At 53.0% G+C, this 26,890-nt stretch overlaps 1 protein-coding gene across 2 annotated transcripts, besides 1 other annotated feature; it reads left to right on the top strand.

Annotated features, from left to right (window-relative positions):
- Window positions 1,990-25,676, top strand: ADAMTS8 (ADAM metallopeptidase with thrombospondin type 1 motif 8). 2 transcript variants are annotated; one of them, XM_017017145.2, is made up of 9 exons: window positions 1,990-3,032; window positions 11,307-11,546; window positions 13,524-13,659; window positions 14,269-14,436; window positions 15,815-16,068; window positions 18,999-19,182; window positions 21,659-21,831; window positions 21,960-22,135; window positions 24,471-25,676. In XM_017017145.2, the coding sequence occupies exons 1-9, from the start codon at window positions 2,313-2,315 to the stop codon at window positions 25,039-25,041; spliced, it is 2,622 nt and encodes an 873-aa protein (XP_016872634.1). In that variant the 5' UTR covers window positions 1,990-2,312; the 3' UTR covers window positions 25,042-25,676. The 2 variants fall into 2 exon arrangements, with proteins under 2 accessions (XP_016872634.1, NP_008968.4); NM_007037.6 differs by having other exon boundaries at window positions 15,767-16,068.
- Window positions 10,346-10,847: an enhancer, noted in NCBI's record as "H3K4me1 hESC enhancer chr11:130289647-130290148 (GRCh37/hg19 assembly coordinates)". NCBI's record gives its function as "activates a minimal SCP1, AML or CMV promoter by ChIP-STARR-seq in primed H9 embryonic stem cells {active_cell/tissue: H9 hESC(primed)}" and the evidence as "EXISTENCE:reporter gene assay evidence [ECO:0000049][PMID:30033119]".

Raw genomic sequence — 26,890 nt, 5'->3', positions numbered from 1 at the left:
CTCACACCTATAATCCCAGCACTTTGGGAGGTTGAGGCAGGCGGATCACCTGAGGTCAGGAGTTGGAGACCAGCCTGGCCAAAATGGTGAAACCCCATCTCTACTGAAAGTACAAAAGTTAGCCAGGTGTGGTGGTGCCTGCCTGCAGTCTCAGCTACTTGGGAGGCTGAGGCAGGAGAATCTCTTGAACCTGAGAGGGAGAAGTTGCTGTAAGCCAAGATCGCACCATTGCACTCCAGCCTGGGTGACAAAGTGAGACTGTGTCTCAAAAAGAGAAAATCAGGAGTTGTACTCTGGGAAACAGCAAATAAGGGGCTTCAAGGAGGTAAAAACCAGTCATTGAACTGTTACAATAGCCCTGAGGCAACACAGAGTTGTATTCATTGCTTGCCCAGGTCAGACTGTCCCAAGCACTGTACAGGATGTCCCAAGCACTGTACACTGTGCTAGGACGAAGTGTTTTGCTTGTTTTGAGAAAAGGGTTGAAGAGACCATTCTTTCCATTGTCCTTCCTCTAGAAGTGTTTCCCCAAAACATTCTAGACTCGTTATTCCTATCCTATAAATTATGCAGGAAAGGAGGTTCTGCACCATGCTAGGTTGGGAAGTTCATCCTTTCATCTAATTCACAGCTGTCCCTCTGTGTTTCTGAGAAAGCAAAGAGAGGGGGGATACTTAGAGGGAATTTGGCAGCACTTTCCCCTGGGCAAGAGCCTCCTCTTTGGAGGTAACAAGCCCTGAGAGTCTCAGATGCATGCTGAACCACCACACTGCAGGAAGGGGTCAGATGGGCTGAAAAGAATCAGCGATGACCTCGACTGTCAACATCCCCAGCATAAGCACAGAGCTGGGTACCTGGGGGCAGGTGAATTGGCAAAGGATTTAAAGGCCCTGATCCCAGCGGTTCCTAATGCATCACCCACATTGACAACTCAGAGAAAGGCACAGTTGGTGGATGAGTCTAGAGTTTGTAGGTAGAGAACAGGGCCCTCCACCCAATCCAGACCTGTGTCATTGAGACTGGGATGGGATGCAGTTTTGTGGTCTTGAGACCATGTCATCCCTCTCTTCCTGAATACTACCCCCTTCCCTAGGGGGCAGTGGTGACATGGGACAGAATAAATTCACCTCATACACATTTGTTCCTGGGGCTGTGGCAACGCAGTGAAAGGGCCTGCCACCTTACTTGAAGTCCCGGGCAACTAGCAGTATCCAGAAGAGAAGACCTTTTTCAGGGACTGGAGGTCTGTTTCCCTCTTGGGGAAATGCTAACTTCCAACCTCAGTGCTGGTAACTTACCACTGTGCTGGCCTCTGCCCCACCTGCCCTCTAACAGGACAGTGAGAGTCCCTCTTAGGGTTAACCAGGTGGGTTGTTTTTTGTTTTGTTTTTGTTTTCCCCATCTTCAGTTTGGAGTGAAAGTTAGGAAGGCTGTGCAGTAGTGATGAGAGGAGGGCATGATTTTAGCATGACCTTTTCCTCCTCTCCCTTTATGCTTTACAATGAAAAGCTCAGGAACCTTCTCCCCACACAGTCGGATCTCCGGAGGCATCTGCAGGGATCCCAACAGTGTCGGGCTCTGCAGTCGGACTCTGCAGGGATCCGAACAGGGTCGCTGAGACCAGTGCACGAGCCTCTTCGGAAGATGCATCCTGGACTCTTGGCCGCAGAGGAGAAAGCGGTTGGGGTCTCCCAGGGACTCTTTCTAAAGGGTCAGTCCAGCATGGTAGGGGTTAACGTGGGTCCACGCGTAGAGGGAAAGGAAAGAAGTTGTAGTTGACACTTCAGGGGGGCGGGTGGCGGACGGGTCTCGCTGCCTGATTGGTTTTGCATTTCATCCCAATTTTTTTTTCTCCACTCTCTCTCCCTCTTTTCAGTTTCTCTCTCTGATCCCAGGGGAGGGGAAACGGGAATAGTGAGAGATCAAAAATAAACCTCTTATGTCAAGCCGGGAAGGAAGTATAAATAAGAAGGGCTCGGCAGCCCACTCGGTGCTTCCCGGGGTGGGGAGGAGGCAGGAGGCGGCTGCGCGGGGCTGGCGCGGGCAGGGGCGGAGGACGGGCGCACGCGGGCCGGGGCCAGCTGCTCGCGCTCGGCTCGGGGGCGGCGGCGCGGGAGGAGCGGGCTGCGCCAGCCAGAGGGGCCGCCGGGGGAGCGCTCCCGCCGCCGGGCCCCGCGGGCCGAGTCGGCCTTGCACCCGATTGATTCCGCTTTTCCTGGAGAGAGCGGCCGGGCCGCGCTCGGGCCGCCAGCACCTGCCCGCGCCTGGCGGGCTTCTTCCCTCTCCTGCGCGCAGCCACCGCCGCAGCCCCCATGCTCCCCGCCCCCGCCGCCCCCCGGTGGCCTCCGCTCCTGCTGCTGCTGCTGCTGCTGCTGCCGCTGGCCCGCGGCGCCCCGGCCCGGCCCGCAGCCGGGGGGCAGGCCTCGGAGCTGGTGGTGCCCACGCGGTTGCCCGGCAGCGCGGGCGAGCTCGCGCTCCACCTGTCCGCCTTCGGCAAGGGCTTCGTGCTGCGCCTGGCGCCCGACGACAGCTTCCTAGCGCCCGAGTTCAAGATCGAGCGCCTCGGGGGCTCCGGCCGGGCGACCGGGGGCGAGCGGGGGCTGCGCGGCTGCTTCTTCTCCGGCACCGTGAATGGGGAGCCCGAGTCGCTGGCGGCGGTCAGCCTGTGCCGCGGGCTGAGCGGCTCCTTCCTGCTGGACGGCGAGGAGTTCACCATCCAGCCGCAGGGCGCGGGGGGCTCCCTGGCTCAGCCGCACCGCCTGCAGCGCTGGGGTCCCGCCGGAGCCCGCCCCCTCCCGCGAGGACCCGAGTGGGAGGTGGAGACGGGAGAGGGTCAGAGGCAGGAGAGAGGAGACCACCAGGAGGACAGCGAGGAGGAGAGCCAAGAAGAGGAGGCAGAAGGCGCTAGCGAGCCGCCACCGCCCCTGGGGGCCACGAGTAGGACCAAGCGGTTTGTGTCTGAGGCGCGCTTCGTGGAGACGCTGCTGGTGGCCGATGCGTCCATGGCTGCCTTCTACGGGGCCGACCTGCAGGTAGGACTGAGAGCCTCCTCCAGCCGCCGTGCCCGGAGGCCCCCCAGACGCCTCCCAGCGTCTCTAAAATCTCCCCTTCCAATCCCTCTGAGAAAAAAAAAAAAAAAAAAAAAAAGCCCTCCCCACTCATCTTCTCCAGCCTTACCCCAAACGAGATTCTCTCCTGTCTGAGAAAGAGCAGTAACTCTTTTCTGAACTTCTGCCACCCTGGATCCCTGCGCCCCCACCCCCAGGTCCCTTCCAGTTTAGAGTGGGGCTGCCGACGCCCATCCCTCTCATCCGAATCTCCCGCGGCACGTGGCGCACTGACCCGAAAGTGGGTATCAACGCATTCCCCGGCACCTGCCTCTCCCAGCAGAGATGAAAATTGAGCGTTTACGAATAGCTCCCACTCCCACCCCTCAGCCCTCTACTGCCTCCAGATCTGAGAGGCTCCCAGGGAAAGGCAGATGGGATGGAGAGAGATGGCTGTCTGATTCCCTTGGGTATGGAGGTCGCCATAAGCAAAAGACATTGTTTGAAAGGAGCTGAACCTGGAGAGGGGCTGCCCAACTTCTGTGCAGCCAGCTGGTTGTGATCAATGGGGCATGGACTACCTTGCCAACCTGGCGCTCAGCCCCGGCAGAACTTGGCAATGCCAGCAGCCAGCACAAGAGGGAGGGGCAGAGAACTTCTGCCTGGGGGCTCAGCCCAGGAGCTGAAGCTTTGGTGGAAACGCGAGGGGCGCAGGGGCTGGAACGAGCTCTTTGGGTGAATGTCTCTAGTAAAGCCAGACCCACACTTGGTCCACCCAGCTGCCCTTAGCCCAGACACAGCTCTTACCTAAACAGGGGAGAAAAACAGAGTCCAGGGGATGGCTACCTAACCAGACCATTTCTAACTAGATGCAAAGATGGTGCTGACTCAGCAGGAGGTGTCTGTGTTGCCCTAAACCCCAATTTCTCCCCTAAAGACCAGGTGAAGGCTTTTCCAGGAGGAAAAGAGGGTAAGGCTTCCAGAAGAGGGGTGCTCTTTGCCCCTAGGGAGCACAGAACCAGAGATGTGCCAGGGAAGGAAGAACTGACCTGCCCAGACGTCATAGTTCCCTGAAACAGGGATCCTGGCAATGCAGCAGCTAAGCTGACACTTTGTGGTGATGGCATCCTTGGCCGGGACCCAATACTAGGCTCAGTCTGTGCCCGACTGCTGGGGGCCCCAAGGGCATAGGCATTGCCTGTGCAGAATAGTCCAGACAAGGAGGCGATCAGCCTTCTGTTTCTCACCCCATCTTTCCCACCCTCTATCACTGGGAAAGGCAGGGTAGGAAAGACCCAGGGAGAAACAGATGATTAGGATGGGAACTGCTGTGGGTGAGAGTCCACGTGGCTGCCCCTCTGGCTACTGCAGGTGCTGACTACACCCCAGGGACGCACCCCTGCAAGCCCTTGTGGTATTTGCTTCCCCAAAAGCAGGGCAGAGCAGCTTTGGGTCACGCTGATTTAACACCTGTTTCCCTGCCTGTCCTGAGAGCACGGAGCGGTGGGAGCACCAGCCCTCTCCTCTGACTCCTTTCTTTAAGCAAGTACTAGAGAGTGTGGCAGGAGAGGGGTGAGAAGAGGGCTTCTCCCATCTCTTTAGGACCCCCACACCTGGCTCCTAGGGGGCTCCACCAGAAAGAAGCTAAGATGGCCGGGCACGGTGGCTCAAGCCTGTAATCCCAGCACTTTAGGAGGCCGAGGTGGGCAGATCGCAAGCTCAGGAGATCAAGACCATCCTGGCTAACACGGTGAAACCCCGTCTCTACTAAAAATACAAAAAAAATAGCCAGGCGTGGTGGTGGGCGCCTGTAGTCCCAGCTACTCGGGAGGCTGAGGCAGGAGAATGGTGTCAACTCAGGAGGCAGAGCTTGCAGTGAGCGGAGACCGCGCCACTGCACTCCAGCCTGGGTGACAGAGCAAGACTCCATCTTAAAAAAAAAAAAAAAGAAAAAAGAAAAACACAAAAAAAGTAAGAAGCTAAGATGCACCCATTGCAAACCCAGAGCGGGGTGCTACACCCCTCTACCCCCACACATGGAACAGATTCTGACATCTACCTAAGAACCAAAACATAGGAAAGCCAAGAGAACTCCGTGCCAGCAGAGAAAGTCCATTTTTCAGCCTTCAGGGCCAGACTGTCTCACTCTCTCAGCTGATCACCTGGACGCTGGAGATAACTGAGTATTTGCCTCAGGGACATACTCGCATCTCCAGACATCCTAGCTATCTAGAGGCAGACATGCTCTGAGGCCCGACCCCAGGATGCCCGGGCTGCTGAAGCAGGAGACTCTGCTTGGGTTTGCACCCGATTTTGTTCCCTTCAGCTTAAAGTTCAGGTCTGCTGCCCCAGACAATTCGGCTTTCTCTGTGTCAGAGACACCCAGGCATTGCCATCCTCATGAGACTCCTGACCGGGCGATGTGGCTCCTGCTTGCCCCGCTCCCCATCCCCCACAAACACGCATTTCTGGACCTTTCCCAGCTGCACATTGGCACCTGCACACCCAGCCAGCCCACCTGGACCAGGAGAGCGCAGCAAAACAGGCATCGGGCACCTCTGAAGGCTGAGTTCCTCTCCCTAGGGGGTTGACTTCTGAGTCTCACCTGGAAGAAAAGTCTTCCCTCAGGGAGACTAGCCCCGCCACCTCCACCCTGGGTCTCATGTCCCATCCCACCTGTGCTCCTGCTGCCACCGTGGCGGGTGGGGGAGGGACTGAGGTACAGCTGTGTCCAGGACCACCCTCGGGCCCCTGTGCTATGATGAGCTGACCAGCCTTGGAGATGCTGCAGGACAGGCGTGACTGTCTCAGCTCAGTCCCCTGCGCTTCCGAAAACAGATCCATGAGCCCAGCTGAGAGAAGAATGAAAATCAAGTTCCCGTGCCTCAAGACCTTGGCTGCCCACACCCACCTCCTGCAAATGGAAGCCAGTCCTTTATGTGGAGACCTCATTCACACAGAGGGAAGGCACTCTGGGGTGATTACTCTTGGTAATCAGGGGTGTGGAGGATGAGAAGAGCCTTTACCTCTCTAGGGCTTAGAGTTCCTCATCTGTGAAGCAGGACACCTGGACTAGGTGATCAATCCCGGTCTGAGCACCTGTGTGGCTGCTTCATGATGAGCCAGTCTTCTGGAAGGTTTAGCCACTCTCTGAGCGTGTTCAATTCACAGCGTGGTTTTACACACATCACCTCCATGAAAATACCAGTGAGGGGGGCAGAGGGAGACTGCACAGCTCACAGAGGACATGTGGCTTCCTCAGGATCAGACAGCACCGATCAGGATCAGTAAGTGGCAGGGCTGGGCCTGCAGACCAAGTCTCCCAAAGCTGAATCCTGTGCACTGTTATCCCACCAGGCGGCCTCTTTCTCAGGACTAGGGTCTGTGGCTCTGTCGACCCTCTGATACTTGCTTATGTTGTGGGAGTGGGTCTTTAAATCCAGCAGTTCAAAGCCATCCAGGCCCACTGTGAGGCCCTATCCTGCAAAGAAACCGCCGTGGAGGCTGAGAGAAAGAACGCACCACTGCCAAAGCTGGTCTCACTATGTTACGCGACAATGAAGTTTTCCAGAGCTCTGTCAATTGAGTTCATTTAATCCCATGAGAAAAGGGGCCCCTGTCTCCCACCTTCTTATCTGGTTTCAGAGTTAAGGAGCTCAGACAGAGGGGCCTTTCTGAAAGGAGGGACCACCTGGGAAGACTCCATTAGCTCTGTCTACGTCCAGCTGCTGCTCAGTGTCCCCTGTGTGAACCCGGGGCGAGATGGAGTGAGGGGCAGCATGGCAGTGCCCACTCTCGCCAGCCTGGGACGCCTGTCCCGCCAGTGCTTCTGCAGTGAGCAGAGTTTTCGAGTCCTCTTCTTAGCAGAGAGGGTCCGAAAAGTGGCGCTCATCTTCCCAAAGTCCAGCAGAACACTCGCAGGAGGTCAGATTCTGGGGACTGACTTCAGGGACGGCTGTCACAGCCATCTCCATGCCCCCTTACCTGCATGCTGTGGGGAAAATGTCTTCCACAAGACACTAAAGTGGGCATGCAGCCTAGGTTGTCCAGCAGCATCCCAGTTTCTGCCTGTTCTGGCATAATTATTAATACTACCGTCTTTCCCTCTCAAGGGTGTCCTGGTTTGGATGACAACAGAAACAGATTCATGCCCCCCCCTGCTCTGTGGCTACCAGGGAGAAAGACAAGTGTTATATGTGCGTGATGTCCTTCCCATTGGCAAAAGAATGCATCTTTTCCATCCCTTATGTCTGCTGCAGTCAGAATGATCAAAGATATGGAGTATTTCCCAAAGAAAATGTCTCAGTGTCCAAAGATCGCCCCTTCCCCATCTCCCAGGAGGTGGGGTGTGCATAGGCAATGACAGGCGGACTTGCTGCTTGCAAGCCTTGGGTTCACTTTGGCTAGGCTGCAGTTTTCCTTACAGCAGCAAAGATGGGTGGCAGTTAGTACAGAGACTAAGAACACAAACTTTGGAATGAAATCGAAATAATGTAGTGTCCTTGAGCAAGTCACCTATTTCTGTGTACCTCGATTATTTCAGGTAGGAGCAGTTATACCAATGTCCTAGCCTTGTCTTGAGGATGTAAGAAAATATGGAATGCACCTGACCTGGTGCCTGGTCCAGACGACATACTCAGCAAGGCATGGCTATTACTAGAGTTGCCTTCGGTGATGGAAACCATTTGTTAGAGTGGGGAGGATGGGCTGGGCCATGCCATCAGAGTGCCGGCCACCGCTGTTTCAGCTTTGCTGTTCCACATGGCAGAGGAACCTTCTCTTTCAGTTGCCCATGCTCAGTGGTGAAGGCTGACTTGTAGTTCAGCGTCAGCGTATGCTTTCAAGGGACAACATTGCTCTTTGCTGCTTGCAGAACAAGAGGAGATGAAGCATATGATGCAGGTTGCTCTTTTCTCCTCTCACTTCTTTCCTCTCGCTTTGCTTCTCCATCTCCACACCCCCAGCTCAGTCTCAGGCCCTAGAGACGTCAGATAGGAAGAGGGAATGCAAGAGCTTCCCGGGGCCACTTTTCCTCACCTGACCTCCCCCCAGGCGCGCCGCAAGGGAAAGCTGTGGAGCCACCGGTGAAGCGCAAACCGGCTGGATGTAATGATGACATCGGGGCGGGAGGAGGCCGGCCCGTCCCCATCACCCACCGCAGCTGGCTTCGGCTACCACAGAAGCTCTGAGGAAGGAATCTCCTTGTTCGTATCTCAAAGAACCAAAAGGGGCTCTGGCCCACCCAACTGGCCAGGGTGTTGTTATTTTTTTTTAATTCATTTTTTTTTAATAGAGACAGGATCTCACTATGTTTCCCAGGCTGGTCTCAAGTGATTCTCCCACCTTGGCCTTCCAAAGTGCTGGGGTTACAGACATGAGCCACCCTGACTGGCCTGATGTTCATCTCTACTCCAGGTCCTGGGGTCACTCATGCACGAGCAGACTCCCTAAAAAGTGCCGCCTCTCCCTAACAAAAGTGAAGAGTATGGGATCCCCAAGTCATTCAAGAGCAGGTTGTTTGACCACCCTGGCTGGGCTGACCGTGGGCTCCCACCTACCTGCCGTGGTTTGGGGGGCGGCTGCTCTGCTGATGCCTCTGCTCCTCAGGGGGGCCAGGACCCCGTTCACATTCTTCACATGCAGCTTGCATTGGTGTGGGGAGCAGGGAGGTGTAAATCGGCACCAGGTGGTGGAGCAAGCCATCTGACTTCCTCCTTGACCAGCCGCAGGCCTGATCCCCACAGGACTCTCAGTCAGGCCTGTCCTTTGAACCCAGGATATTGGGGGAGAATCAAAGGCTCACAGCCCTGAGGTCCCCCACCTCACCCAGGCTCAGTGGTCCTTCTCCGTAGGGAACTGTGAGACGCACCGCATATATAAGGCATTCCTCTGGTCATTTCTCAGAAGAGCGGACTGGGAGGGGAAAACCAAAAACTCAGTAGAACAAGAGATAAGGAGAGATCAGTGGGATCGGGATCTGGGATTTTGAAGGGAACACTGGACCACAGAATCCTCCTAGCCTTCTTGAAAATGAAAAGTATCTTCTGAGACAGCGGCCAGAAGGACCTTCAGATGTCCTCAAGTCCAGCCCACCCCTCGAAGCTAAATGGCTCTGAAGCCGGCCCTGCCTGACAGCTATGCACTGTCTGGAGAAGACAATGATATGAGCTGTAGAGAAGGAGGCTCCCTGGGAACCTTAGGGCCGGGAAGCTCCTTGTGCTGTCTTGCCCTGATCTTCAAGCAGCAGTTTATTCTGCATGAAAATCAGGGGTTAACCCTCACCTTCCTCCGGTCTTCACTGAGGATGTGAGCACTGCCTCATCTCTCACTCAGCCTCCCTCCGATCTGCTCAACGTGGGCACACAGACTTGCCCCAACCTCCTGTCTTTAGCTCCTTGTGCTGAGCTGTCTCGGCCCCGAAGCTTAGCAGCTGGTGTTCCTTAGCTTTACACCTTCCTTGTGCGACCTCATCTTCCCCATTTTGAGATTGTGAAACTGGGACTCAGCGGGAAGAAATCTTGTGATGACGGTTGCAGTTTGCCTCAGAAGAAATTCCAGGGGTTGGTCCCTGGCCCATCAGACCCTGGTCCTTCTTAGAGAGATCAGGATACTGTTGGCCTCCTGGAAGCAGCAAAGACCCGGCCAGGAGTTCATCTCGGCAAGCCACCATTCCTCAGCGCTCACCCCCGGTTGCATAATGATGTGATTGCTTTTTGTCCCTCCAGAATCCAACTCCAGGAGCAAGTGCCAAGTTTCAGCCTTGTTGATAAGATGTTTACATCAGCCTAAACATTGCTGGAGTGCTTGACACGCCAAGTAACCTGCCAACCCCTGCTTGTAGGGCTAACAAAATACCTGGCTCATTGCCTGTGAGGTGAACAGACAGATCCCATTCACAAATAATGGGATTCATCTGGAACGCCCACACATGGCCTCACCCGATGGAATGTCCCTCTCTACCCTTTCCTTTCTCCTCCTTCCACTCCCACCTTCCAGACCACAGGAGGAGAGGAAGAGGGGATCCCAAGAGGTGGTGATCTAGGGATCGGAGAGGCAGGGCAAGCAGGTGCTGCCCAACTGACCACACTCCAGGCTCAAGGAACACCCACCTCTGCCTCTGTGTCTCCTCTTCCACAAAATGCTCAAAGAGGGCCACTTCAAGGGGTCGCTGAGGCAGGAGAGCGAGTTCCCATCTGGCCTTCTCTCCAAGCCTTGGAATCCAGCAGGGGAGCAGTTGGCAGCCCAGGGACAAGACAGAGGCCAAGCAGTGATGTATGCTCTGTTGGCCAGCCTGGGTGGAAGGGAGAGCAGGTGAGATCCCAAGCACATGGGTCCTCTTAGGCCCACGGGATCCTCTCAAGCCCCAGTCAGGAGGGAACGAACCCTTCGGGGCTGTCCAGGCAGACACCAGGAAGCCACGCCCGGGGAAACCTAATGAGAGCACGGTGGACCTCAGAGACAGGCACACCTGGGCTGGCCTCCTGGTTTCAATAGCTGCGTGACCTTCAACAGGTTAATTTGCATGACCTTCCTCATTCGTGAAATGGAATTACAGCACCTTCTTCACAGAGTTATTGTGAGAATTGAATGAGGTACTGTGGCAGAGTAGCTGTTGTTAGGAGTGATTATCACAGCAAAGTTTTCAGTGTTAACAAATCCCCCCCCAAAGAGTAGAGTTACCCCAATAGACAACAGGAAAATGTTCAGCTGGATTCTAAGAGGGAATTCTACTAACCTTGAGCGCTCAGAACTTTGCTTCTGGGCTGAGGCCGGGGACGGGTGGGGGTGGTTGGCAAGGAGACGGTGTCAGGATTAAGGCAGAATAAGCCATGCCGTCCAGTAGAACTTTGTATCTGCACATTCCAGTGCAGTAGCCACGAGCCATATATGACTATTGAAGCACTAGAAATGTGGCCTGTGCCACGCTATAAGTTTAAGGTTTTGGATTTTAATGAATTTGGATTTAGGTCGTCCCCTGAAGCTGTCCTGGATGTTAGACACACAAGTTCGGAGCAAGGCAGGTCTGGGTTCAAAGACCACTGTTCATGCATCAGCTTTGTGACCTCGTGCAGGTTCTTGAGCCTGTTTTCTCACATGCAAAATGAAGGGAGTAACACGGAGACCTCGGGGGTATTGTGAGGCTTTGGTAGGAATCTGATGCTCAGCCCCATAACAAGAGGTGATGGCAGCGGACAGGCCAGGCCAAGGGCCCTGAGACTTAACCCTTCACTCCGCCTCTTGTCTCCTCCTTCCTGACAGAACCACATCCTGACGTTAATGTCTGTGGCAGCCCGAATCTACAAGCACCCCAGCATCAAGAATTCCATCAACCTGATGGTGGTAAAAGTGCTGATCGTAGAAGATGAAAAATGGGGCCCAGAGGTGTCCGACAATGGGGGGCTTACACTGCGTAACTTCTGCAACTGGCAGCGGCGTTTCAACCAGCCCAGCGACCGCCACCCAGAGCACTACGACACGGCCATCCTGCTCACCAGACAGGTCCGTGCCTGGCTCCGGAAGCCCTGGGGAGGAAGGGAGACAGGATGGGCAGATCAAAGGGAGGACCACGAGGCCTGCCCAAACATGGGAAACGTCTCCCTGCTGGCCCCAGCTGGACGCCAGAGCCTCATGCCCAGAATGATGAGGAGGTCATGAGGACAAGTGTGAGGTATTTGCAAGGGAAGGAGAAGAATCTTGTAAGGGCTCTCTTCCAAAAGTTTGTGACCAGCTGTCTCCTGAGGTCACACATAACAAGAAGAAATGGGCTCAAGCTGCCCAGTGAGAGATCTGGGCTTGGAATGAAGAGAGTAGTTCTAGCTGCAGTGGTTGTAAAACACAGGGGCAGGTAGCCAGGGGGTCCCCTCAAGATCTGCCCACAGCAGGAGGGCTGCCCACCTACACGGCATGACTTAAACAGACAGCTTCCTGAAAGCAAGAGAGCGATCCTGTGTGCCAGGCCCTGTCTGCTCCTTCAGTCTCATAAGGGCCCCATCGGGCAGGCCCTGGTGTTATCCCCATTTTGTAACAGAGAAAACTGAGGCACAGAGTGGCCACACAGCTCTCGTGCCACATAGCGGCAGCGCCCATAGTCCAGCCAAGACAGTGCTGCTGTAGAGTCATGTTCTGAATGACTGTGCTGTCCTGTCCCCACAAAAAGCCTTTGAAGTCCCAGCCAGCCCTAGGATGCAGCCAGCCCTAGGATGCAGCCAGCCCTAGGATACAGCCAGCCTGTAACATAGAACAGGCTCCCTTACATGAATGGCTGATGTGAAGACAGACAGAGATTTCCCGATCTTATCACTCAGAAATCCATCTTGATAGCCTTTGTATTTTATATTCTTTTTGGTTTTTAATTTTGTTTTGTTTTGTTTGAGACAAGGTCTCGCTCTGTCACCCAGGCTGGAGTTCAATGGCACAATCACAGCTCACTGCAGCCTCTGCCTGCTAGGTCCAAATGATCCACCCACCTCAAGCCTCCTGAGTAGCTGAGATGACAAGCGCAAGCACCTTGCCCAGCTAAATTTTTTTTTTTTTTTTTTTTTTTGCTTTTTGTAGGAATGGGGTTTCACTATATTGCCCAGCCTTGTCTCCAGCTCCTGGACTCAAGCAATCTACCTGCCTCGTCCTCTCAAAATGCTGAGATTACAGACTGTTTTTATTTTTTAACAAAAGGAAATTTCACAGGTTACTCTCCAATTTAGAAAGATGGGGGACGGGTGAACTGGCTTGACCATAAACACAAAAAGAACCAATAAAGCGAGGCCACTAGGTGGGATATCCAGACACGTTGAAACTGCTGTTGCGTCTTCCTCCTTAAAAAAGGTCAGCCAGGCACATGGCAAGCGGCTGTAGTCCCAGCTACTTGGGAGGCTGAGGTGAGAGAATCACTTGTGCCCAGGAGTTTGAGGCTAAGTGAGCTACAATTACTCCTGTGAATAGCCACTGCATTCCAGCCTGGGCAACATAGCCAGACCTCGTCTCTAAAGTTTAATTTAGGCCGGGCACGGTGGCTCACGGCTGTAATCCCAGCACTTTGGGAGGCCGAAGGAGCCGGATTGTCCGAGGTCAGGAGTTTGAGACCAGCCTGGATAACATGGTGAAACCCTGTCTCTACTAAAAATACAAAAATTAGCCAGGTGTGGTGGTGCACGCCTGTAGTCCTAACTACTTGGGAGGCTGAGGTGGGAGAATCGCCTCAACCCCATAAGCAGAGGATGCAGTGAGCTGAGATCGTGCCACTGCACTCCAGCCTGGATGACAGAGCAAGACTGCATCTCAAAATAATAATAATAATAATAATAATTTAATTTAATTTAAAAGCTCAATAAATGCAGGTGATGCACAGGCCAGCAAACATGTTATGGGACGCTCAGTGGTCCACTCCCACGTGCACGCTGGCCACACCCGGCCCTGCAGGCCTGCAGCGCACCCCACACACACACTGATGCACTCTCTTGCTCTCTCCCCGCCACGCAGAACTTCTGTGGGCAGGAGGGGCTGTGTGACACCCTGGGTGTGGCAGACATCGGGACCATTTGTGACCCCAACAAAAGCTGCTCCGTGATCGAGGATGAGGGGCTCCAGGCGGCCCACACCCTGGCCCATGAACTAGGTAAGATTTGCTGTGCCAAAGCCCACTTCACCACATCGGAGGGAACTGCTCTTCCAGATCCAAGGTTGCGTAGATCCTAAGGAATATGCGGCCCTTGCTTAGGAATAGCTCCTCCTAATTTTGACAGGGTGACTGTATACAAACAGATACCGCGCTTGACAGTGCTGAACACAACTCCGCTCCCACCCCGAGCACATGGCCAAAATACAAAAGCAGCATCCCACACGATTATCACAGGTCACCGGGCAAATGCCAGGACACAGGACACCAGACACGTGCTGGGGTGGAGGCGTGGAGCTGTGCACAAGCTAAGCCGTGGGATCTGGGGGAAGAACAATGGTCCAGGGACTGTCATGTGAGAGGGCAAATAACAGAGCTAGATCCAAATTCAGGACGGGCTGAGGCAGAAAATAAAGGGGTATCCGTGTTTCTTAGTCATCTGAGAACGCGTCCTGGAAGAGCAAAGCGCAGGGGAAAGCCCTACGCAGAAATCTTCGGAGAGTGAGGGGGTGGCTGCTCCCCTGAGGAGCTCCATCTCTGTCCCTAGCTGGGCCAGGTGGGGCGCCCTCAGGCAGGACAGGGCGGAGTGGACCAGGCCTCTCTCCCCAGGGCACGTCCTCAGCATGCCCCACGACGACTCCAAGCCCTGCACACGGCTCTTCGGGCCCATGGGCAAGCACCACGTGATGGCACCGCTGTTCGTCCACCTGAACCAGACGCTGCCCTGGTCCCCCTGCAGCGCCATGTATCTCACAGAGCTTCTGGACGGCGGGCACGGTAGGCACCGGCGGCCCCGCCCTACTTGTCCCCGTGGGCCTCCTTCCACTGGTGCTGGCGCAGAGACCCCCTCCAGCTGTGCCTCCTCACAGGGCCCTTAGAGCTGAGTCCCCGGCCAGCCTCCCACGCTGGGGCATTCACACCACCCCCGAAGTCTGCTCTTCTGGCCCCATCTTCCAGCAGCCGAGTTCTGCGCTAATTTAGATTAGTCACAAGGCAGGGGGAAGTCATCCGAGAAGGTTGTCTGAAGGAGGAGGGTTTGAGCAGCGCTTGAAGGAATAGAAGCACATAGCACAGAGGAGAGACGAACCTACAACAGCTCAGGCGTGACAGAGGCAGTGACTGCGTCCTGTGAGAGCAAGAGGGCGGGGAGCTGGTTCAAAGGACTGGAGCCAGGCATGGGGTGCACACCTGTGGTCCCAGATACTCAGGAGGCTGAGGCAGGAGGATCACTTGAGCCCAGGAGGTCAAGGCTACCAGTAAGCTGTGATCATGCCACTGACTCCAGCCTGGGTGACAGAGAGAGACGCTATCTCTTTAAAAAAAAAAAAAAAAAAAAGGGCCAGGTGCAGTGGCTTCTGCCCGTAATCCCAGCACTTTGGGAGGCTGAGGCAGGTGGATCACAAGGTCAGGAGTTCGAGACCAGCCCGTCCAACATGGTGAAACCCCATCTCTACTAAAGATACAAAAAATTAGCCAGGCGTGGTAGCACACGCCTGTAGTCCTAGCTACTCAGGAGGCTGAGGCAGAAGAATCGCTTGAACCCGGGAGGTGGAGGTTGCGGTGAGCCGAGATCGAGCCACTGCACTCCAGCCTGGGCAACAGAGCTAGACTTCATCTCAAAAAAAAAATTGCTTCTCAGAAGAGGGGATTAAAGAAAAAACAATTTTAAGTGGTTGGAATTGTTGGTAAAGTAATATTCTAGATCCTTCTCACTGAGGGAGACAGGGACATGTATGATGCAAAAATAAGATGATCCAGACAGCATTATTTGGTCTTCATTTGCATGCTGTGGCTTTCAGGAGCACGGTTAGGTTGTGATATGGATGAATATTGTGTTAGCTGGCATTCACTGGGTACACAGAATGTCGGGGGCAATGCTTCCTAGATGTTCAGGACAGCAAAGGAAAGTCGGTCCTGAAGAGCGTTTGCAACTGATAGTCAAAAATTAGGCATGCTCTCACTAGATCATCAAGTGGTGACAGCTTTTAGTTGGAGGTCAAGAAGTCGTGACACCTAGACCTTCAGTGCCATCCATCACAGGCCATGAAGAGCTGAGAGGGCGGCAGCCCTGTGCATGTTCTTACACCCCTGCTTCCTCTTTTCCCAGGAGACTGTCTCCTGGATGCCCCTGCTGCGGCCCTGCCCCTCCCCACAGGCCTCCCGGGCCGCATGGCCCTGTACCAGCTGGACCAGCAGTGCAGGCAGATCTTTGGGCCGGATTTCCGCCACTGCCCCAACACCTCTGCTCAGGACGTCTGCGCCCAGCTTTGGTGCCACACTGATGGGGCTGAGCCCCTGTGCCACACGAAGAATGGCAGCCTGCCCTGGGCTGACGGCACGCCGTGCGGGCCTGGGCACCTCTGCTCAGAAGGCAGCTGTCTACCTGAGGAGGAAGTGGAGAGGCCCAAGGTGAGGGACAGCCCCTGAGGATAGCGGGGAGGGGAAAGGAGAAACAAAAGGAAATGGGGAGGACTGAGGGCTGTTCTCCAGAAGGAAACCACACTTGAGAGTCATGAACCGAGAGACAGCCAGGCAGAGCGGCTCACACTGGAATCCCAGCACTTTGGGAAGCTGAGGCAGAAGGATCACTTGCACCGAGACCAGCCTGGGCAACATAGTGAGATCCTGTCTGTACAAAAAAATAAAAAATAGGTCAGGCATGGTGACTCACGCTTGTAGTCCCAGCTACTCAGAAGGCGGAGGCAGGGAGATCACTTGATCTCAGGAGTTTGAGGCTGCAGTGAACCATGATCATGCCACTGCACTCTAGCCTGGGCAACAGAGGGAGACCCTGTCTCCAAAAAAAAAAAAAAAAAAGAAAAGAAACTTCGGGCCAGGCTGCAACATAGGACTTCTAGGTAAAATCACTCATCTTTTAACAAACAAACCAAAGCATATTTATCCACACGGTGAGGAGCCCGTGAAGGCTATCCCCTCGGTCAGTGGGTTGACACTGCCGTGGCTCCAGACATTAGGGAGCTGCTTTGGGGCTGCCTCAGGGCTGGTGCAGGTGCAGATTGGTGAGCGGGGTGGAGACAGGAAGGTGAGCACACAACAGATGGAGCCACTGTCAATTCCGTCATGAACACAGAGACACGCGGAATAAATTCCATCAAGAATTGAGTGAAAAGTATTCATAGCCTGCCCGTGCTTGAACTGAATGCATAATTACAGGTTGGGAGAATGAGAGCAGTTGTGGGAATTCCGTATTCAAAGAGGAGGAGAGGAGACAGATTCAGAGCTGCCTCTGGCCAGGCAGAAAAAAACTTGGCCCAGGAGAGAGTAAACTCACAAGAAAAACCAAGGCAGTGCCAGTGAGGGTTTTTAAATGATTCACTTCTTTGCCCTGCTCTGAATACATCCAAACTGTGAGGCTGATCGCATTTCTCTTACTGTGACTCATGGAGCCATCACTATGAAACAGCATCCACTGGGTTTCACAGCCCGGTCCCCGCCAGCGCTGAATCGCCAGGGTGGCCCAAGCACTCCTCAGTGCATGTCTTTTGCACTGAGCCTTGGGAGCCCGCCTGCACCAGGTAAGCTCTGTACTCTTGTCCTAAGCCTGAGCTGGTGCAGGATTCATGGACTGATCCTCAGCCACCTCCCATTCACCCTGTTCATTCTCATCACATGTTATTGAGGGGAGAGCAGAGGGATCTGCCACCAATCCCAGAGCACAGCCGAGCTAAGTGCAGGGAGAGGTTGACGTGAAATGATCATGGAATGATGTGTGGCCTCTATTTTTAAGAAGTCAGATCAGAAAATACATATTTATAGAATCAGGCCAGGTGCTGTAATCCCAGCACTTTGGGAGGCCGAGGCGGGTGGATCACCTGAGGTCAGGAGTTCGAGACCAGCCTCACCAACATGGTGAAACCCTGTCTCTACTAAAAATACAACAATTAGCCAAGTGTGGTGGCAGGTGCCTATAATCCCAGCTACTCCAGAGGCCAAGACAGGAGAATCACTTGAACCCAGGAGGCGGCAGTTGCAGTGAGCCAAGATCATACCACTGCACTCTGGCCTGGGCGACAGAGCAAGACTTTCAAGAAAGAAAGAAAGTGAGAAAGAAAGAGAGAAAGAGAGGTAGAAAGAAAGTGAGAAAGACAGAAAGAATATATACATAGAATCATATCTTTTGTAAAATAAAAGCATTGCATTTTTATGATGATATATTCAGAGCAAAAGTATGAAAAATATTGGTGAAAATCATGTTAATGGTTTTATCTGGGTAGTGGTGTTTTAAAGAAGTGTTAATTTCTTTTTTACACTTTTCTGCATTTTTTTATTTGTCGTATGAGCAACTATTACTTTTATAACTTTTAAAAAATTATTTTCATTTTGAATACTCTATGAACCTTTGGGCATACAGCATTCCAAAGGGCAAAGCTTTGTTCTCATAGGTCAGTTGTAAAATGGGAAGCAGGGCCAGGCATGGTGGCTCACACTTGTAATCCCAGTACTTTGGGAGGCCGAGGCAGGTTGATCACTTGAGGTCAGGAGTTCAAGACCAGCATGGCCAACATGGTGAAACCCCATCTCTACTAAAAATACAAAAATTAGCCAGGCGTGGAGGTGTGCACCTGTAATCCCAGTTATTCGGGAGGCCGAGGCACAGGAATCATTTGAACCCAGGAGGCGGAGGTTGCAGTGAGCCGAGATCACGCCTTTGAACTCCAGCCTTGGCAACAGAGCAAAACTCTGTCAAAAAAAAAGGAAGCAATTCTGTTTCTTTCCCAAGCATTGTCCTATCACCAGAACCAGTGGCTGGTAGACTATGGCAACACCTCGCAGGGATGTTTCCTTTAGACCAGAGTTCCTCTGCCTTGGCACTAGGGACACTTAGGACTGGATAATTGTTACCGTGGGGCCTGTGCATTGCTGGATGTGGAGCAGCATCACTGGCCTCTACCCACTAGATGTGGTCACGTACACCCTCCACAGCTGTAGCCACCAGAGTATCTCCAGACATTGCCAAATGTCCCCTGGAGGGCAGAATTCGCCCCAACGGAGAACCACTGCATTATATGCAACCTTATTCCCATAAAAGGGTGTCATTCATTCATTCAGCAGATAGCCTATTGAGCACCTTACTAAGCATAAGGCACTGTTTTAGACACTGAGGAGTCAGTAGTGAATGAGTCCAGCCTGGTCTCTGTGCTCACAAAGCCATGCAGGCCACACAGTCATTAAACAAATGATTGAGGCAGTTTACGGCACTCCATGCACCAAGATGATAATGACTAGATGAGGAAGCCAGGGCATTGGCCACCCAGTGACACAGATACTGAAGCCTCCTGGCCTTTGCTCCTCATTCAGTGTGCCATTGTATGTTGCAGCCCGTGGCAGATGGAGGCTGGGCACCGTGGGGACCCTGGGGAGAATGTTCTCGGACCTGTGGAGGAGGAGTACAGTTTTCACACCGTGAGTGCAAGGACCCCGAGCCTCAGAATGGAGGAAGATACTGCCTGGGTCGGAGAGCCAAGTACCAGTCATGCCACACGGAGGAATGCCCCCCTGACGGTAATTACCACTCAGGGCCGCCCCTGCCAGAGCAGCTACTATCATTGCTATGACGCATCCCCAGAGGATGTGTAAAGTGGGAGTGAAGTGGGTGTCCCGGGATATAGAGTTACTCCCAGAGGGGAGTAAATTGGGTCTCCTGGGATGTAGAGTTTTGCCTGTGATCTCCACCTAAATGGGCTCTGCAAGGTTCCAATCCCAGGGGCAGCTCTCAGGGACCCGGGACAGCTCTCATAGTGTTCAGAGAGCCTGGCAAAGTCAAGGAGAGAAATTACGCTCATCTTCCAAGATGTGGAGAGGAGGACATCACTCCCAACCAAACTTATTGGGGAGGAGCCTCTGCAGAGGGGCTGGTGTCTAGGAAACTAATCCTCCTGGAGGCATAGGAACCCTCATCTGTGTGCAGAATGGAAGCATTTTCCAAAGCAAGTGTCAGAGCCAAACCTCCAAGGTCTTTCTAGCCAAAATTCAGCCCAGGGCAGAGGGAGGATTTCTGAATCTGATTCCTGTTCACATTCCTTCTGAGAAGAGTTGCCCATCTTCCCTTGGGAACATGGCAACTGTTTGACAGAATCTTCCCAGGAAGGAATACTACCTCTCCCTCCCCTTGGCATATTCCTATCCCCAGTACCTGCTGGAAACCATGAACATTAACTTAGAGGCAGTAAAGGGGCAGCAGCAAACTCGTGAGAGGGAAATCATTACAAGGTTTTTCCCCACCATCCCATCCAACTGCCCAGTGTGCAGCTCCAGGAAGGATTGGCAGGCAAGAAAAATCAGGCAGAGCCTTAGGAGAGATTCAACCACGGGAAAAGACACTGGCATTGGGTTGATGTCTCAGGAGAATCTGTAGGCTTTGCGGTTTCACAAGACAAGAAGGATCCACAATGGTTTGAGGCTCTAGAAACTTTGCCCTGGAATTGTATGAGAGTTTGCCTGGCATACAGGGTGAGACGTTGCTGGGAAAGGGGGAGGATGAGAATGAATATAGGGTGCAAGGTAGGTGTGGACGAAAAGTGATGCCATGATGTCAGATGCACCAAAGTCTGCCATTACTGTCGAGTATTTTTTAGTATTTTTTGTGTGTCTAGAACTATAAAAATGTATGAAAATGTAAAAGGCATGGTCTCTGTCCCTAAGGAGCTTGTAGTCCAATTAGAGACCCAAATCCCTTTAACACAGCCATTACATTTCAATGGATGAGTCACAGACCCTAGGTTGGTGAGGCGCTCGGAGAAAGGAAAGGCTGGGTGAGCGGAAGCTTTGAAAGGAGTTAGGACTGAGCAGAGTCTGGAGGACTGAGATGGGTGAGGTGTGAGGGGACCTGCCAGGGTGGTGGAAAGGTGTGAGAAGGGCCCTCATTCACTTAGGTGGAATCAAGCAAAGCACACCACTATGTCAAGGCCAGACCACAGAGGTCCTTGAAGGCTGACACAGTATCTGGGAGTTATCTGTGCCACCTGTCCCATTAAGTCACCTGGAAGCTCCTGCAGACACAGCCCAGACCCCCTCAGCTGCACTGACTCAGAGTCTCAGGCGTGGAGTATGGCATCTGCCTTGGCAAAGTCTCCCCAGGCATTCAGATGCACAGTTTGGGCAGGGAACCTTGGCAGGAAGAACAGCTTTAATTTTAGGATTTGGGGGTGGAAAGCAACCCACATCTAACTTCAGATGGGTTGGTCTGGCAGCAGCACGTGGCAGGATGGAGAGGAGGCAGGCACAGGTCCCCATGAAGCCAGCAGGCCTGGGCTTGTGGTGGTGAGAGTGGGATGCCATCGTTTTAAATCACAGATTGTCCTGAATATAGTGTGGGTCTTTGTGACAGTTTGGAAATAGCAGATAGAGATGCTCAAATGTTCGGGAGATACCAGGATACCAGTCTCAGACTTGGGCATGGTAAGATCAGCAAATGAAAGTCAAGACAGTTCGTGGAAGGACCATCGGGAGCTTGGCCATGCTGAGTTGGAGGTAATCACAGTACATACAAACGGAGCTCCCCAGGGACACCCAGAATTACGGAATGTGGGTGTAGGGGCAAGATCAGAGCTAGACATGTAGATTTAGGAGTCTTTGGATTCATGTCCGGTGTCACTGAGGAAATCGATACTGCACAATTAGTAGTGTCCTGAGAATATAGCTCCACATGCCATTCTGTGCCTTCCAAGCTTACTGAATTGTTCCCTGTTGCTCCCTGCGTTTATTCACCTGTAGAGTACAATGAGTCTCTTTCCCTAATGGAAAGGGCATTTATCCTAGAAAGCCCAGCATGCGGCTGGAGGCTCCTTTCCTTGCCCTTTTGAGTAAGGGTCACACATGCGTCTAGGAATGTTGTGCCCAGAAGACACTGGCCCTGGGCGCCTGGGTTGAGTTCAAAACCAAAAGAAAGAAGAAAAGTGCTGTAAATTCGGGATTTCTCCACCGGATGCTCCTGCTTCCGCATGGGTGTCACCTCCATGCCGTTTCTTCCTCTTTCTAGGGAAAAGCTTCAGGGAGCAGCAGTGTGAGAAGTATAATGCCTACAATTACACTGACATGGACGGGAATCTCCTGCAGTGGGTCCCCAAGTATGCTGGGGTGTCCCCCCGGGACCGCTGCAAGTTGTTCTGCCGAGCCCGGGGGAGGAGCGAGTTCAAAGTGTTCGAGGCCAAGGTGAGAATCACCCTGGGACTCAGATCCAGAGATGGGGAGGAAGGTCGCCTGTCCCCACACCCCCGCCCCCCGGCAGGCTGCTTCTGTGCTCAACACGCCCTCCCTCACCTTCCCTTTCCCCGTTGCAGGTGATTGATGGCACCCTGTGTGGGCCAGAAACACTGGCCATCTGTGTCCGTGGCCAGTGTGTCAAGGCCGGCTGTGACCATGTGGTGGACTCGCCTCGGAAGCTGGACAAATGCGGGGTGTGTGGGGGCAAAGGCAACTCCTGCAGGAAGGTCTCCGGGTCCCTCACCCCCACCAAGTGAGTCTCCCCAGAAGTTCTGTACCTTGCTTGGTAGAAGAGCATAATGGGCTTTGCACTCTGCTAGGCCCAAATTGAACTGTGGCTGCTACTTAATAGCTGTGAGGGTTGGGCAAGTTATTTAAACTCTCCGAGCTTCAGTTTCTTTGTAAAATGTCAGCAGTATCTCTATCTCAGAGTCGTTGTAAGGATTTCCTGAGATGGGATGTGCACTTGGCAGTGTCGAGCTCATAGAAAAGATAGAACACAGGGCAGCCGTGACTTTTACGAGGGCTGGAGGCCATGTGGATAGGGAGCTGTCATCTCTGAGTCAATCGAGCCACACTGAGTAACCTGGACCTCTGCCAGAAAACAGCTCTCCCAGGCCTGTTTTGGGAAGGACGTCTCACCCTAAGCCTGGCAAGCCCCTGTCCTTTCTGCAGATGGATCTTCAGAGAAGGGGGTTACCAAAAAGGGGCCCTGGCAGCCTCAGGGCTTTCATGAATCTGAGAACTCCAGACACTTTTTTCTCATCCTAATGCCCCACATTCATAAAACTCCAAGGATTTTCCAAAGCGCTTTCATTTCCATGGTCTCATTTGATTTGTAAAATAAGTCCATGAGGTGAGCAAGGCCAATACTATTCCTCATTTTGCAGAGGAAGAAATTAAGGCACAGAAAGATTAAATGACTTTTCTAAGGTCACATTGATGGTTAATGACAGCCAGAAGAGAACCTAGTTTTCCTAAGTCCTGGATGACTTTTGTCTCCCATTCCATGTACTTCCTGCAGAGTAAGGGCAAGTTCGGGTGTTTTATATGGGCCACACTCTGCCTGTCTGCCTCCAGTACATCAATGTGTCCTAGGGCTTATGTGAGCATCCACCTGTCCAGCCACTTCCCCCACTCACGGTCTCAGAGTTTTTGAGAAGTGTTCACTGTATTGTATTCTACCTAGTGAAGCTCGCAAACCCTGCCCCATTCTGTGTGTGTGTGTGTGTCTGTCTGTCTGTCTGTCTGTCTCTACATCTCTCATCTCACCAGTCTGAGAGAACAGAATCAGCCTACAGCAGGCAACTTGGGACTGTTTTCATTTTTTTTAATTTATTTTTATTATTTTGAGACAGAGTCTCACTCTGTTGCCTAGGCTGGAGTGCGGTGGCACGATCTTGGCTCACTGCAACCTGCTTCCCAGGTTCAAGCAATTCTCCTGCCTCAGCTTCCCAGGTAGCTGGGATTACAGGCATGCACCACCACACCCAGCTAATTTTTGTATTTTTAGTAGAGACTGGGTTTCGTCATGTTGGCCAGGCTGGTCTTGAACTCCTGGCATCAAGTGATCCGCCCGCCTTGGCCTCCCAAAGTGCTGGGATTGTGGGTATGAGCCACTGCGCCCTGCCTTGGAACTCTTTTTACATTTAAGCTCAAAAGACATAGAAAAAGAGAAGCAGACACTATTCAGATACTGGGTCCCTTGGCCACTTTCCCTCAGGCTTTAGACAGATGGGCCTGTGGACACTCTAAGAGTCTGAAACTAAGCAGCTAGCCCCAGCTGGACATATGGTAAGAAAAGCAAAAAGCCCGCCTGACCACTCGCCTCACTTTCTCCCCAGCCTATGGAACCCAGATTTCCAGAAAAGAACAAACAACTAATCTTTCTTCATCCTACCTAAAGCCCTAAGCCTATAATGGACTGGAAACAGTTTCCCAAAACTGCTTCCTATCATTCCAGAAGCACAGTGCTCATGGTGCCTGGGCACTCCCAGAAGGTGGCTTCAAAGAAGCAGGCTTAAACCCCCAACTCCCAACCCCACCCTGATCCCACCCTAGGGCCATATTCATCAAATACTAGGAGCCGACTGACTCAGAGAGGTGGTGTGAAATTTCCCTCCTGTTCACGTTCTGGAAGGGGTGTGTGGAACAGTTTTTTCCATGTGGGTTTGAGCTCTGGGTATGGAGGTGGCCAATCAAAGTTGTATACCAGTGCAAGGAGCTAGAGGTATTTGAGATCACATTTGACAGGTGCCAGGTTTGGCTACACCAGTGCAGCTTTCCACATCCTTCTGGGTTCTCCTCGTCTCTATGCTGTTCTCAACACCCACATACCTCAACTCCTCAACCACACTTTTGAAATAGAGTTGCCAGATGAAGCAAACACCCTTGAAAATCCCAATGTACAGACATTTCTGTCTGCCTAAACAGCTAATTTATTGAGAACTTTGAGGCAACTTGCTTAATTACTTGCTTTGTTTTTTTCGTGTCTGCCACCTGGGGTGCCCACTTCAGTCTCCAAGGCATCATCGTGACCTGGGCTGGGCAGCCACTGGTCTAAGGGTGTCCTTCTGTTTCTATCACAGTTATGGCTACAATGACATTGTCACCATCCCAGCTGGTGCCACTAATATTGACGTGAAGCAGCGGAGCCACCCGGGTGTGCAGAACGATGGGAACTACCTGGCGCTGAAGACGGCTGATGGGCAGTACCTGCTCAACGGCAACCTGGCCATCTCTGCCATAGAGCAGGACATCTTGGTGAAGGGGACCATCCTGAAGTACAGCGGCTCCATCGCCACCCTGGAGCGCCTGCAGAGCTTCCGGCCCTTGCCAGAGCCTCTGACAGTGCAGCTCCTGACAGTCCCTGGCGAGGTCTTCCCCCCAAAAGTCAAATACACCTTCTTTGTTCCTAATGACGTGGACTTTAGCATGCAGAGCAGCAAAGAGAGAGCAACCACCAACATCATCCAGCCGCTGCTCCACGCACAGTGGGTGCTGGGGGACTGGTCTGAGTGCTCTAGCACCTGCGGGGCCGGCTGGCAGAGGCGAACTGTAGAGTGCAGGGACCCCTCCGGCCAGGCCTCTGCCACCTGCAACAAGGCTCTGAAACCCGAGGATGCCAAGCCCTGCGAAAGCCAGCTGTGCCCCCTGTGATTCAGGGGGGCAGGGGCCAGTCTTGTGCTCCTGGACATGCGGTACTGAGGTGCAGACAAGGGTCTCCACTGTGGTGACTGGGTCCCTTGGCCATATCAAGGCAGCACGGCCCACCCAGGCCTCCCATTGCCGCAACCCCTCCAGTACTGCACAAATTCCTAAGGGGGAAGAGGAGAGGGTATGGGGCGGCAGACCCTATCATCAACTGTCCAGTGGACTGGACCTTGCTCGGGTTCAAGTAGAGGGCATAGGTTAAAAGGTAAAAGTGCACTTATTGACTCAGACAGGACACTCAGCGTCAGTCTGTTTGCAAAGGACTAGCAAACTTAAATGAAAAAAAAAATTCTATCTGGTTTCCCCGATAAATAATCTACCTCACAGGGGAAAAAATTAGTACAAGAGAGGCGTGGGGCAGGGAGTCAATGGTGAATGTCAAAGCAGGCTCCAAAGCTGGACCCCAAGCTGTCTTCAAGAATGACCACGACTGTCTTCAGTGTTAAAATCCATCACCTAAAGGGCCGCAGCGTCGCAGGGTTTGGAGAGCCACATGTTCTCAGGCTGCCACCTGCAGGGGTGGATCCATTTCAAGTATTTATGCAAATGTGTCTCTGAACTAAAGTGTGATCTTATGCCAATGCAGTGGTCTGGTCTGATTCATTGTTTCTTTGGAAAGGGCAGCAACCTAGAACCCAGGGATGGAGGCTGAAACTAGGTCAGCAGCTGGATCCCTGCCTGCTCTGGGTCCTCACAGGCCTGCAGAATCCAGCTCATTCGGGCAACTTTCATTTGCAGGATCTAGACCAGTGGTTCCCAAGGTTTCATTAGGATCACGTAGAGGGCTGTGAAAATGGATTGTGAGGCTGGGCACAGTGGCTCACACCTGTCATTCCAGCACTTTGGGAGGCTGAGGCAGGAGGATTGCCTGAGCCCAGGAGTTCAAGACCAGCCATGACAATATGGCGAGACCCTGTTTCTATAAAAAATTAAAAAACGAAATCAGTCGGTCATGGTGGTACAGGCCTGTAGTCCCAGCTACTCAGGAGGCTGAGGTGGGAGGGTCACTTGAGCCCAGGAGGTTGAGGCTGCAGTGAGCCATTTTCATGCCACTGCACTCCAGCCTGGATGACACAGTGAGACCCTGTCTCAAAAAAAAAAAAAAAGAAAGAAAGAAAGAAAAGAAAACACAGATTGTGGGGCCCCATCCCCAGAGTTTCTGATCTAATGGTTGGGGTGGCCTGAGAATCTGCATTTCTAACAAGTTCCCAGTGACTGACATGGAGGCTGCTGGTTTGGGAGCCACACTGTGAACACCTGTGCTACAGGAAACGTCCAGCTGGGAGATCACAATTGTTATGCGATGCCTTTGGGCTCATCATTCTTGAGAAAGAATATCCCCTTCCTCTCTGTGAGCTACCCCATCATCCTCTTACATGCTGCCTGCCTCCTTTTAGTTTAGCTGGGGGCACCAGATCCTCAGCCCCTACTCCGCTCCATAGCTCCTCATCTCTCCTGTGGCTCAGAGGAACTCTGGCTCAGTCTTCCACCTGGTCTGGTGCAGAGGGAACTTACTTAGTCCCTGATCACAAATGGGTGACAAGAAACAGACATCAAGAAATGACATTCTAGCAAAAGAAGGAAAATACCCAAATGTGCATCTTGGTTTTTTTCACCACCTGTGCCCCCTTTGTCCTCCCATTCAGATATCTGGCACCATGGGCAGAGAGGATGCTGTAGGGGCACTAGGCAAGGCCATGAGATTCCAGCCCCACTGTTCCCCTTAGCTGCTCTCTACACGATGACAGCTGACTCAGAGTTGGTCACTCCTTCTTGTCTGCCTACTCTTTTCAGC

Source organism: Homo sapiens, chromosome 11 (assembly GCF_000001405.40).
Source record: "Homo sapiens chromosome 11, GRCh38.p14 Primary Assembly".
NCBI lineage: Eukaryota > Metazoa > Chordata > Mammalia > Primates > Hominidae > Homo > Homo sapiens.
Note: the sequence above shows the minus strand (reverse complement) of the source record. Positions and strands in the feature narration are given on the sequence as shown.

Bases quoted from the DNA above. Each gene is read 5' to 3' on its own strand.
- ADAMTS8 (NM_007037.6), top strand. From the start codon at position 2,313: ATGCTCCCCGCCCCCGCCGCCCCCCGGTGGCCTCCGCTCCTGCTGCTG. The intron at 11,547-13,523 runs GTCCGTGCCTGG...CCCGCCACGCAG, and splicing joins CCATCCTGCTCACCAGACAG to AACTTCTGTGGGCAGGAGGG. The intron at 21,832-21,959 runs GTGAGAATCACC...TCCCCGTTGCAG, and splicing joins TCAAAGTGTTCGAGGCCAAG to GTGATTGATGGCACCCTGTG.